The sequence below is a fragment of the Homo sapiens genome, chromosome 2 (assembly GCF_000001405.40).
Source record: "Homo sapiens chromosome 2, GRCh38.p14 Primary Assembly".
NCBI lineage: Eukaryota > Metazoa > Chordata > Mammalia > Primates > Hominidae > Homo > Homo sapiens.
Window position 1 is genome coordinate 120,542,619 of NC_000002.12, and position 12,790 is coordinate 120,555,408.

General features: G+C 48.7%; 1 long non-coding RNA gene across 4 annotated transcripts, besides 3 other annotated features; it reads right to left on the minus strand.

Annotated features, from left to right (window-relative positions):
* Positions 1 to 286: 286 nt before the first annotated feature.
* On the minus strand, positions 287 to 12,029 carry LOC105373585 (uncharacterized). Of its 4 annotated transcripts, XR_007087218.1 has the most exons (5): positions 9,270 to 10,767; positions 4,628 to 4,719; positions 3,221 to 4,141; positions 1,599 to 1,764; positions 287 to 708 (listed from the first exon to the last, which is right to left on the minus strand). It is a non-coding gene; the product is annotated as an uncharacterized LOC105373585 (long non-coding RNA). The 4 variants fall into 4 exon arrangements; XR_002959417.2 differs by lacking the exon at positions 4,628 to 4,719; XR_001739681.3 differs by lacking the exons at positions 287 to 708; positions 4,628 to 4,719 and adding exons at positions 10,931 to 11,451; positions 11,859 to 12,029 and having other exon boundaries at positions 1,258 to 4,141; positions 9,270 to 10,706.
* Positions 893 to 2,092: an enhancer, noted in NCBI's record as "BRD4-independent group 4 enhancer chr2:121301087-121302286 (GRCh37/hg19 assembly coordinates)". NCBI's record gives its function as "activates an origin of replication core promoter dependent on BRD2, P300/CBP, MED14 and CDK7 cofactors, and independent of BRD4, by STARR-seq in HCT116 cells {active_cell/tissue: HCT116}" and the evidence as "EXISTENCE:reporter gene assay evidence [ECO:0000049][PMID:35650434]".
* Positions 9,245 to 9,394: an enhancer, noted in NCBI's record as "active region_16461". NCBI's record gives its function as "activates an Ori minimal core promoter by ATAC-STARR-seq in GM12878 lymphoblastoid cells {active_cell/tissue: GM12878}" and the evidence as "EXISTENCE:reporter gene assay evidence [ECO:0000049][PMID:35858748]".
* Positions 10,409 to 10,538: a silencer, noted in NCBI's record as "silent region_11919". NCBI's record gives its function as "represses an Ori minimal core promoter by ATAC-STARR-seq in GM12878 lymphoblastoid cells {active_cell/tissue: GM12878}" and the evidence as "EXISTENCE:reporter gene assay evidence [ECO:0000049][PMID:35858748]".
* Positions 12,030 to 12,790: the final 761 nt, after the last annotated feature.

Sequence of the window (12,790 nt, forward strand, 5' to 3'; positions counted from 1 at the left end):
CTCTCACTCCTGGCAGAAAGGATGCCCGTTGGGCTAGCTTAGGTCTCAGGCTGGTCCCCAAATCAATCACCATGACCAGAGGAACAGAACGTGGGGGTTGGCTTAGCTAGAATCAGAAGCCCACCTCTAAGACGAGGTGAAGTGGACTTTCCCAGGCCACATGGAGCAGTTAGGGAAGGCGAAGGTGGTTACGGATGGAGAGGATGCAACACAATTTACTTTGTTTGATTTTGGACAAATCAGTTACTCTTCCTGTCTCTACTTTTTCATTTACAAAATGAGAGCATTTGTCCAAAGTCCGTTTTCTTTATTTTTAAAAAGTATTTCACCTACCAAAATCAAAAGGATCCAAAGTCCCTTCTAAAGCTAATATTCTGAGACTGCCCGTCATCTTCATCTTCCGTGCTGAACCACTGAGACCACAGCAAGGGCCATAGCTTGCCTCATGCTGTCCATGAAGAAAGGGTTTCCTGGGCAAAATACTGAGACCAGGTCTTCACCAGCAAACAAGCATTGGTTGTGTTCTCGTTCTGTGCATGTGCACATGCTACTGCTGTGAAAAATCCTCGGAGGTATAAGGCCCAGTCCATGGAATTCGACAAACGTTGACTGGGTACCTACTGTGCACAGTGCAAATTAAACATAACAGTGACATGGTCCAGTTGGGAGATCTCCAGTTGCAAAGTCCATTGGTGCCTCCCAACAGTCCTGCGAGGTGGACAGATGACAAGAGAATAAGACAAAAGAGAGAGAGGCAAGAATGGCTCACGGTTGGTACGGCCATGACTGTTCTACGTGTTCAGGGGCAAGGCCGTGGCTCCAGGCTTAAGTGATTATGAAGGGGGAGTCACTTGAATGCACTTTGAAGGCAGGGCTGGCTACATTATTTGTGAGGCCCAGTGCAACGGGAAAACATGAATCCCTACTCAAAAAGCAGGAAAAAGTGCCTCTCAAGGTACTAACATATAAAGCTTTTTTCTTTCTTTTGTGGTTTCTCTCTCAACTTGTGATGTTTGTTTTGTTTGTTTGCTATTTAATGTTACTCTAGGTAAATAAAAGTAAAAACTAAATTATTAGTAAAGTTAAACTATTAGAATACATTTTACTCTTTATCTTTATAGTATACAATGGCAGTTTTAAATGCAAATATAAAAACATTTAACTCCTATGCAGAATCACTAAAATTACACACTTTGTATTTCAAAGCATATACAGCATATGTGTTTTGTTCTCACCAGAACAGTGGAAACAGTAGAATACTAACTCGACTGTTTTTATTTCACTTCTTATTATGCACACATTCTACCAACGCTCTCCACCTCAGCTCGCTGATGAGGAAGGAAAGACGTCAAGGAAAAGGAACTGCGGGTGGCCCTGTCTTTCCCGGTCCTTCCTTGTCATCATTTCCAGCACAAGTGGTTGCTCACACGGGGAAGCGATGCAAGGAAGAGAGGATATGACAGGGCTCCTTCATCATGTGTGTTTCTCAGAATGCCACGGCCTTCTGTCTGCGCTAGGAGCAAGTTCTGGTTGGAATGGAAAGCGAGACCTTTCGCAGTTGCCAGCGCCCCCCGTGCTCAGCTGCAGGAGTAACTCACTTCTCTTGTACTCAGTGAATGTCGCTGAACTCTCCTGCATCGTGGGCTCCCTGGAGTTCTGTGCTCTGGGGCATCACAAACGCTGGAGGTGAATGCAGCAGCCAGGAACGGGTTTGTGCGGATCTCCTCTTCTCCTTTGCAGGCCCCAATATCCCATTGGATTTCACTCCCAAAACACAAGATAAAAGATAAAATTATCAAAGAGTTTCAAGATGGCAAGATCGGAGCAATCAACCGAGCTTGGGATCCTTCTGTGCATAGGGCCCTGTGAAACTGCTCAGGTCCTATGCCCGTGAGGCTGGCCCTGTCTGAAGGACTGGCAGGATGTGTGTGGGCAGAAAGAGAGGACAGAGGGCATCCCAGGCAAGAGGGGCTTCAGCAAAGACGCAGGGGTAGGAACATTCCTGGAACACTTAAAAGAGAGAGAGGGAAAGCCTGGTTAGGAATGGGGTCCCGTTGGTGAGCATGGGCCAGGAGAGAGGCTTACCATCTTGGAAACTTCCGTATCACTCCGCTGGGCCTGTGGACCCTGAACATGTGGCTCCCGTGCCTCCCCAGGCCTGAATCAGCTCTGCCTGAGGCTCCCCGCACTGTTTCCCCACTGGACCTTTCACGCATGGGTGTAATTATTTGTTAAATGAGGGCCAACTGCACTGGACCCCACGCTCGTTGAGAAAGGAGTAGATGCTGCTCTGTGTTTCTGAACCTCCCTTAGTGCCTGACATTATGGAAGGAAGAAAGAAGAGCTCACTCCTCAGGAGTTACACTTTTTTAGCATGGGATTCAAGTAGCTGATTCCTTAAGCTACCAGCAATTTCATCTTGAAAAATGACCTAATTCTCTAGTTTCCCATTAATTTAGACTGGCTTTCTCTTTGATAGAACAAAAGAGAGCCGCACCTCGTCAGAAGAGTGACTGCAGATGCACGAAATGAGTGGGCCTTTCTGCCTATGGGTGACATCATCTTAAAGCTTTAGAAAAGTCACAGACGTGGCCGGGTGCGGTGGCTCACACCTGTCATCCCAGCACTTTGGGAGGCCGAGGCAGATGGATCACGAGGTCAGGAGTTCGAGACCAACCTGGCCAACATAGTGAAACCCCATCTCTACTAAAAATACAAAAATTAACTGGGCGTGGTGGCGCATGCCTGGAGTCCCAGCTACTCAGAAGGCTGAGGCAGGAGAATCACTTGAACCCAGGAAGCAGAGGTTGCAGTAAGCCAAGATCCTGCCACTGCACTTCAGCCCGGTTACCGAGCAAGACTCCATCTCAAAAAAAAAAAAAAAAAAAAAGAAAAGTCACAGACGTTATGCTCCTTCGGTAGTGGTAGTGTAAGCGATGAGATCTGGCAAGGGCAAAGAGGATGACTGGATGGATTATAATAAGGCAGATAAATGTGGAAGATAAGACCCCAGACCCTAGCGTCTTTCCAGCTCTGAAATGCCTTCGTTCTCAGTGAGGCTGGTTGAACAACTATGTTGTTGATTCAGGTTGGTTTCACATACCTCTGAGAGGAGAAGAAAGAAATATTTCTGGGCTGTTTGGTGAATGCGTTTCATGGATAGAGAGAGGGCAAAGAGGGACAACCTTTACAGATTATATATTGGCTTAAGTCTACTCACCACCAAGCAATTGGCTAAAGATGTCAAGTTTTCCTGGTTCGGTTTTCAAAGTTACATTGCAGAACAAACATTTAAATTCCTGGTGGATTGTCTCCCGGTTTCCCTCCAGATGTTTGGTGTGGTGTAGATATCACAGTAAATAAATGTGTTTAAAAGTCTAATAAATTAGGCTAGAGGGTGTGTGGGGGAGGGGGGTGCTATTTTGCTGTGGCCCTGGGACAAAGACACAGTGGGGATCAAGAGGTTCCTTGCACCTTCGGCTTGGTAGGTATGGCGGGGAGTGCTGTCAGCAGGCTCGGGAGCAGTGAGGTGGTGTGGTGAGGAATGCACCGGAGAGGCTGACACTGCCCGAGCTGTCAGAATTCACATTGCCGGAAATGCAGGAATGAGTGGAGAGGGGGCTGCGGGGGTGTGTGTACGTGGGAATGTGCAGAAAGACAGTGCGTGTCCTCGTTGGCGGCGGCCGTGGCTGGGCTGGAACTGAACAGGGCGGGAGGCAGGGCCCAATCCTGGAATCCACTTGTCAATCCCTGGCTCCAGATGTCTGCACTGGGGGATTGGGGCTGCCTGGATGGGGAAACTGACAAGCTGTGGTTACGTCACCGTCCAAAGGCCTGATTGACTCATGCCGCCCACTAGATGCCTTTTATGACTTGTGGCGCTGGGGCCAAACGAATTTGCACGGTCATGTGTTACTGAGCAGTTGAGGGGGAAAAAAGTCGCTTTTGGTGGTTTTAACTGTGAGATTAAACATTCTTCAGGAGGACAGCAGAAAAACAGGCTGGGAGATTAAACGAAACAAACCCAGCTGTGTTTGGGGAGTTGAACGCTTCTCTTCCAGTCTCCTACTCTCAGAACAAGATCAGGTGAGGCGCAAGACATCTTCTCTGGGAAGGTCCCTCTCTGCTGGGGAGGCAGAAGCTGCAATAAAAATGACACACACTGATGAAGGTTGGGACCTGGGGAATGTGCCCATCTGCCGCGGGAGCTGCCTCTGTTGTGCTGCCGTCTAGCTGTTTCCCAGGGTCATTTGCCAGCTTTGATATCCCAGAGGGAGTTATTTAAGTTGCCACCTTTGAGACAGGTGAACTGTCGCCTCATTTATGACTGACTGAGCCCCAAGCTAAGGTGCCTGTCGATCAGGATCACTTTTTCATACACCCAGGGCCTGTGGCTGAGCATAAGTGTGTCAAACACCTGTAGGCCAGAGCTGACTGCCCGAGGGAGATGCTGATCGGGCAGGCCTGGGCTTCATGAGTTTAGCCTGCCTTCTGGTAGCTAGAACCTGCCACTCTGCAGCTGGGAAAACTGAGGCCCAGAAGGAATCAGGCCTTACTCTAAGAACCACTACATAATGGGCGATCCAGACTTTGGACCTGGAAGCAAAACTGACACTGCCCTACTCACTAGCCATGCGACAATTGGTTAATCCTTCTAAGTCCATTTTCCCATCTGTTAAACGGGGGTGATGATGATACTAGCATCTTCTTGGGGCTTTCCTGTGAAAGTTCAATAAAGATTCATATGTAATGGGTGATTTTCTGAGAAAAATTCGCATCTTAGCCTTTTTACTGTTAATGAATTGTTCTCTGGGGCAGCTGGGCATCTGAGTCCCATGCTCCAGCCCCTAACAGCCTGTGGGTTTAAGGGCTTTAGGGTTTTGGGACCCAAAAAGGATAATTCAACCATGGAATCCCAAAAAGACAAGAAATGGAGGCTTTGGTATACCAAATGAGAGAGAGAGAGAGAGACAGAGAATATGTGTAGCTCAGCTCTATGGGGCTGATGAGGAAGGAGGACAGAGATATAACAGGATGGGCCATGGGACCTGGGACTTCCAAATCCATAGCCACTCAAGTGGCCCAACCTATGGTGGAAAAGACCACCTTGGTACCTGGGACTCATGAGTCCAACCAAGGAGGCCCCATAGCCTGCATGAGGTCCCTCTAGCTGGCTGGCTTCAAGGAAGTGTGGCCAACAGCAGGAGATGCCCTTCACAGCAGGGGCAAAGCTGAGCTGGGCAGGAGGCCAGGCTGGCAAACCTTACCCCAAAGATGCCTGCCAAACATGCCCAGAGAGGGGACACCACTGCCCACTATGCAGCAGAGCTTCCTAATATGCCTTAGGGCTTACGCAGGGAGGGAGGGAGCATCAGTGAATGACTGACATTGTCATGTTTGCCCAGCTGTATCAATGGGGAGAAGGTCTGGAAACAGATATAATGGATTAGATAAATCGATGTGACATTTCTTACATTCAAGCATCATGGATAAATTCACCTCAGAGTCTAGGACACACTAGCCTAGGTATGCCCTGCAAATGACTATTAATAAAGGACTGTTAAAAATGGACTGGCAACTGGGTGCAGTGGCTCATGCCTGTAATCCCAGCACTTTGGGAGGCTGAGGCAGATCACCTGAGGTCAAGAGTTCGAGACCAGCCTGGTGAACATGGCGAAACCCCGCCTCTACTAAAAATACAAAAATTAGCCAGGCGTGGTAGTGGGTGCCTGTAATCCCATCTGCTTGAGAGGCTGTGGCAGGAGCATCGCTTGAACCCGGGAGGTGGAGGTTGCAGTGAGCTGAGATCATGCCACTGCACTCCAGCCTAGGTGACAGAGTGAGACTCCATCTCAAAAAAAAAAACCAAAAAACAAACAACAAACAAACAAACAGAAATTGTAGTCATGCACAACCCTTAGGCTGCTTCTAGTTTCGGTTGATGAGTGTAGCTCCTGTCAAAGTTTGAAGTGAGCGAGGGCTAGCTTCTTCTCCAAACCTCACAACGACGTGAGAACGGAAGCAGTCTCTCCAAATTCTGCCACATGGAGACATTTAGAAAACAAGCATTCATTCACGAGGAGCCCCAAATGGCTGTATAAACTCCTGAGTGCCACTGGTGGAATCCGGGCCCTCTGCCCTTTGAGGAGCTCCTACTCACTTGCATGTGCTTATCTGCAACAAATACAATGTTCCTGGCAGGACTTCTTTGTCCCCACAGGCCTCTTACTCAACATTAGGCAAATGGAAGTCCTCCCAGGTGAAGGACTACACCCAGGACTGACAGGCATCAAGCTTCGGGCAGCAACGCCACAGGGCAGAGCCTCCAGGCCTCACTGGCTTCCTACACAGTTCTTGCAGCCCTGCGAAGTGTCTCTAAATCACACAGGCCTTGAGTACCTCGACTTTCACCAAATGGAAGCTTATTTCTCATGTCATCATGCTGCTTAACAGGCAACTATTTTTACCAAAAAGAAAACACACCCTCGAACACCCATTTCTGACATTCTCTATGATTGTTGGCCAAGTGTGGGGTGTCGATGGAGAAAACAGAAGTGGGTACAGTCATCATTCTGGTGTGGGGGCTTCCTCATGAGATTGCCACGCCCACCTGGCCTGGGACGTGTGGTCAGTGACTCGCAGCACCCACCTGTGGCTTAATTTTTTTTTTTTTTTTGAGACAGGATCTTGCTCTGTTGCCCAGACTGGAGTGCAATGGTGCAATCCTAGTTCACTGCAGTCTTGAACACCTGGGCTCAAGCCATCCTCCCACCTCAGCCTCCCAACTGGCTGGGACTACAAGCATGTGCCACCATGCCTGGCTGATTTTTAGATTTTTTTTTTAGAGACAGGGTCTTGCTATGTTGCCCAGGCTGGTCTCAAACTCCTGGGCTCAAGCAGTCCTCCCATCTCGGCTTCCCAAAGTGCCGGGATTGTAGGCGTGAACCACTGTGCCTGGACTGTGGCTTAACTTAAGTGGCATTCTCCAAGTATCACATTGGAGCAGGCCCTCCAAATGTGAGGCAGAAGTGGAACTAGAGCTCTGGGCCTGAGCTGGTGGTCCCTTAATTAAAATATAAAATAAGTTAGGAAACAATGCCAGGTTCCTTTTCTTTTGGTATCTTACTGCTCCCAATTAGCTTACGAGCTTCTTAGGAACAGGGCCAAGATTTTCAGCCACATAATGCTAGATGCATTGTATTTTCTCTTTCTTGAAATATTTATTAAGTGGCTCTTTGGATAGTGGAAAAGTTGGCTGAAAAGACATTTTGGGAAATGAAGGCCTCGATGGCCAGGTTCAAGAATCTGGATTGCATTCAGGGGAGCCAGGAAACCAATGAACCCTTTTGAGAAGGGAAGTGGCTTGATCAAAGGGATGCTCAACAAGGAGCACTTAGCTGACCAAGCAACCATCCAAGGGCACCCAAGTCCACGCACGAAGTCATGCTTCTCCCTGGCCGTGCTTCAGTCAAGCTGTTGATTAAGAACAGGGGCTACGGCATATCTATTGTATGCCAGGCACTCTGCTAGGAGTCTCAATTCCCAAGGCATCTGAGTGAACCATCCTCTTCCCATTTTCCAGAAGAGGAAGCCAAGGCTGAGAATGAGGAGTGACGTGCTCAGAATCACACAACAGGAAGGGTGGAGAATCTCTGCCTGGCACAAAGTGCTTCTTTCTATGTTCTGCCTCGACTTGTCCCCAACCCAAGGGATTCTGAGCTGCTCTGGAGGTATCTGGAATAAGAAGAGACAGATGCAGAGCAGGACAGTTCCAGCTCTTTCTTGGGAACAGCAGTACAGAATGCGAAATGCTTTCAAGCAATAAAACCCGTTATCTGTGCAGAAACCCATCTGTGCTAAGGAGAATTCCGCAGGGATTATTGTCCCCTGGAGACAGGAGAAGCCATTTGGTGGGCTAAAGCATCAAGACAAGACCTTGGCTGATTATAAGTCACATTAGACAATTACATTCTTAGCTCCTGGGAGTAATGATGGCTGGATTTGCTCTGATTTCTTCTTGTTGCAAAATAATGCCTGTTTAGGATATTTTGGCCTTCTGTGTAATAAACCTGTGTATTGGATTGAGTCGAAATATTTGGCACATTAAAAATTACTTTCAGTCAAGGTTTTTTAAAAGCCCCATTTTTCTGTCCACATTCTCCTTCATTCCAGAGACCCTAAATGTACTCTATGTGGAGACTGATTAGTCATCCCGGGTGTAGGACCAGCTCTGGGGCAAACAATTAGGGTTTTCATTTTACTCTTTCATACCCACCATGTTGTGAGTGGGGAAGAAAAGCAGGACTGAGGGATGTTATGGCTCAGGCTAGCTATGTGTGCCCTCTTTATCTCTGACCTTGGGAAGCCCACACACTGCAAAGAGGCCAGCAGGGATCTGGGGACAGGCAGACTTGGATTCTGATCTCTGCCCTGCCTCTTCCTAAACCTGTGACCTTGGGCAAGTTGCTCAACCTCTCTGAGGACTGATCTGTTTCTCTGTAAAACAGGGCAACTAATTGAATTCTTAGGGGATTAAACGAGGCAATGGATACAAAAGCATTGTGACTGTTCAGGAAATGTTAACATGTGGCTGGTAGTTGACAACTTCACTGTTGAGGAGTTCCCAGTCCCCAGCCACAGAGACAAGATTAGCAGAGATTATCTCTCATGGGGCAGAGGAGAATATGGGGGGAAATATGGGCTTTGGGGTCACCCAGACCTAACTTGTGCTCTCCTATCTCTTTGTCCTGAGCCGTTACAATAGCTCTCAGTGCCTCTCTTTTCTTATCTGCAAAATGGGCTTATCATAATACATGCCTGGCAAAATGTGTTAAGATAGCTCATGCCTGAGAGCCAGGTTTATATTAAGACTTTATTGGATGGCGACAAAACTGGTGCCCAGCAAGGGGGCCTGCCAGATAATTCATCAGGGTCCCAGGCATTATCCATGGACAGAATATATTCTCTCACACGCACTTGTCTGCATGGTTTTGAAATGTAAACAGAGGCTATTGCAATAAATGAAATAAATTCTTGCCAAGACACTAGTGAATTCATTTCCTCTCAGCCAATGGATTCTAAGAGGCCGAAAAGGAGAAGTGAAAATTTTGTTTTAGCACTACATAAGGCTTCTCGTACTTGCAGCCAAAGAGGTCAGAGATTTGGTCCCAAGACCAACTTAGAGTCATGTGTGACACTGGGATTCAGAGGCTAGTTGTGGGCCACAGGGAGGAAGCTGACCCCTGGGCTCACCCAGCCCACCCACTCACCAGCTCTCCTTTCCTTCCTGGGTCCCTTGGGGAGGAGAAGCCATCCACCTCATGGAAAGTGCTTTAGAGGCTCCTCTGTGGGTGCCCTACTCTGCACCCTTTGCGGGGACTCTCTGCTTCAGTTCGCAGGACAACCTTAATAGCTAACTGCAGAGAGGACTGAATGGTTAAGTAGCTCCTCCAAGGAAGCAGAGCCAAGTATCAGAGGCCGGTTTCCATCCAGGGATTGAGAGAAGAATCAGGAGCACATAGGCTGTGGCAGTAAAAAGCAGATCCCAAAGACAGTATAGGGCGGCTCGAAAGGGGCCTTCCTACATAGCCACCACCACGTGCTCCGGCGCTACCTCCAGGGGGCTGGGCGCAGCTGGAGGACACAGTTCGGCAGCTTGCTAGAAGCCTCCAGCTCTTCCTTTTCTGTATCCTTCAGGTGACTGTGGAAGGCTGGCCGTGCAGCCTGCCATCAGCCTGGCCTCAGCCGGGGAGGGGGACCTTTCTCCTGGAGGCCACAGAAACACTGAGGACCTCTCAGCTGAGAAGGTCAGATGGAGGTGCTGGATGATTGGAGGAGATCAAACTGATGAGGAAAACGCAAATGGCATCCTTCAGGAGCAAAAGCTGTCTCCTCTTTTACTTCACATGTCCACCCAGCAGCTCTATGAGTTCTGATTCAGCATTGCACTTACCACCCACCCTCCCCGCCTTTTACAGAAAAGGAAACTGAGGCTCCGAGGTTGCGGAGTTGCTTGCTCCAGCTGATGACAAAGGCAGGTAAAGCCAGGGCTAGAGTCCCTTCCCAGCCCTCCAAATGCCGTTAGCGCCATGATCCTACAGCCTCCTCAAAGTCCAGTCAGGCAAACTCTTGCCCTTGTTTCCATTAAACACATATCTTCATCTTTTTCGTACTTTTAATAATAGCAGGAAGTAAATCTGGCCATGTAATGTGAGAAAGGTAATAGTCCCAGGTCAGGAAATCCTGTTGCTTGGAGTCTCTTGGGAATGTTAACTTTCCCACTCTCACCCTACCGGGATCCTGACCTCCTGCACAGTTGGCTTCCTCAGGCAAAACTGGGCCAGAAATTCTGGGCCGTTGGCCAGAGTCAGACCTTCGTCCTCTGGTAGCGTCCGCTGGAAAAGAGGAGGCGAGAGTCACCAGGAGGCTGGCCCCACTCGCAGGCCCTGCCCTCTGCCGGTGGGTCCTATGGATGACACGAGGCCGCACTGGGCTGGAGAAGAAGAGAAGCTCCTGAGACACGCCCACTCTGCAGAGGGAGGCAACCGCACAGGTAATCCATCCTCTCTAGGCTTTTCTGTTCCCGTGCAGTAAGTGAAGTGAAGCAAGGTGAAGAAGTGAAGTGAGCATTCAGGACATGAATTGGCACGTGGTCGGTGCTAGAGGAGCTGGCAAGGTAGACTCTGGTCTCTTCTGTGGTGCTGAAGCTGGGGAAATAAGGAACAATCTCATCCACAGGCCAGGCCTCCGGCGTGCTCGGGAGCTACTGACGGAAACTCCTAGGGAACTTCCCTTGTGGAAAGAACGTAAGCTCCGCCCACTCGGGCAGCTGAGGCCATTGATTCGTTCACTCATTCGCTGGACTATTTCTCCAGCCCATGATCTTATTTTATAACAAGTACAACATTCATTCATTTTTACACATAATTACCTCACTTATTCCATGGAAGAACCCTGCAAGTTTGATGGTTGTAGCATGCAATTATCGATGGTTGCTCATGCAATTATTCATTCCTTCAACATGTAGCAATTGAGCTTCTTCAAATTGCCAGGCATGGGCAGGTGCCCAGAACACAGGCACAGTCCCAACCCTTGAGGAACCTACAGCCTGTTAGGAAGGCAGACCCTGATAAATAAACCATACAAGAAATTAGATCATTACAAGGCCAGGTGCAGTGACTCACGCCTATAATCCCAACATTTTGGAAGGCTGAGGCAGGAGGATTGCTTGAGCCCAGGAGTTCGAGATCAGCCTGGGCAACAGAGCAAGACCCTATCTCTAAAAAAAAAAAAAAAAAAATTAATTAGCCAGGCATGGTGGTGTGCCTGTAGTCCCAGCTAGACATGGTGGTGTGCCCGTAGTCCCAGCTACTAGGGGGGCTGAGGCGAGAGGGTCGCTTGAGCCAAGAAGTTTGAGGTTGTACTGAGACATTGTCCTATGAGACCCTATTCCTAAAAAAGAAAAAAGAAAGAAAATAGTTAATTACAGTGACAAGAAGTGCTTCAAGGGAGAGGTGCTTGGTGTTAAGTGAGCCCCTAACAGAGAGACCTGATGAAGTCTGGGGTCTGTGAACACCTTCTTGAAGAGGTGACCTGTGAGCTGGGGACTGGCAGGGGCTTTTTTCTCCAGTCTGGCACAGATCCCACCTGGGTCATTCATCCAGCATCAGTAAATTACATCACCCTCTGGCCCCTCTGGGTGCTGTGTTTGTGCTCCCACTTTATCATCCCATTGTGGCTGTCCTTTCTTTCGAGGTGCCAAACTTAGCTTGGATTTAGGGTTGTGGATGTGGTGTCTATCCTTGGAGGCAGATGTCTGTCTCCCAGACCATGATGTCTACTTTCTAAAAGTTCAGCACCTGGTTCTGATGCTCCACCAGGTTTGGGAATGTCTGCTGCAGAGATCTCAACCTCCTCTTCTCATATGAGTCCCCAGCAGAATGATAAGACACAGTTCCCATCCTCCAGGAACACGCAGCCCTGCAGGAAAGCAGTGTCATGGAACCATAATGTAACCTGATAAAGGTTTGCACAAGGTGCTAAAGAGGCACACAGGAGGATGCCCAACCCAGCCAAGGAATCAGAGAAGGACTCCTCCCTGGAGGAGGTGATGCCTGAGCTGAATCTGACAGAGTGAGAGGCAAAGAGAGGCAACATTCCAGGGAAAGACAGCAGTGGGTACAGAGACTCAGAAATGAAAGAGAGCAAGGTCCAGCCTAGGAACAAAAGGTAGTTCTGTGCAGCTGGAGAGTAAAGTGTAAAGGACACTTAACACAGCTGGGGGCATTCAGGAAGCCTTCCTGGAAGTGGTGCTCTATGAAATGAGACAATCCAAAGAGCCAATGGGAGCTAGCCAGGGGGAGTAGGGGAAGGATATCATAGACACTGAAGAAGGGAATTATATTAACTAATAATGCTGCAAAACAAACCACTCCAAAACTTAGTAACTTAAAGTGATGATAATCATTTATTATCTCTTTTAGTTTCTGTGGATCAGGATTTGGGGAACAATCTGGATAGTGGTTCTGGCTAGGGGTGTCTCAGAGTTACATTCACCTGTTGACTGGGCTTCCTGGGGCTGTGAGATGTGCTCACTCACAGGCCTGGCACACTGGTGCTGGCTGTTGGCGGGAGGCCTCAGTTCCTCATCCTGTCAGCCTCTCCACAGGGCTGCGCTCAGTGTTCTCACTGACAGGCAACCAGCTTCTGCTGGAGTGAGCGAGGCAAGAGACCAAGGAGAAAGCTGAAATGGCTTTTGTGACCCAGCCTCATAAGTCACAATTATTATTCC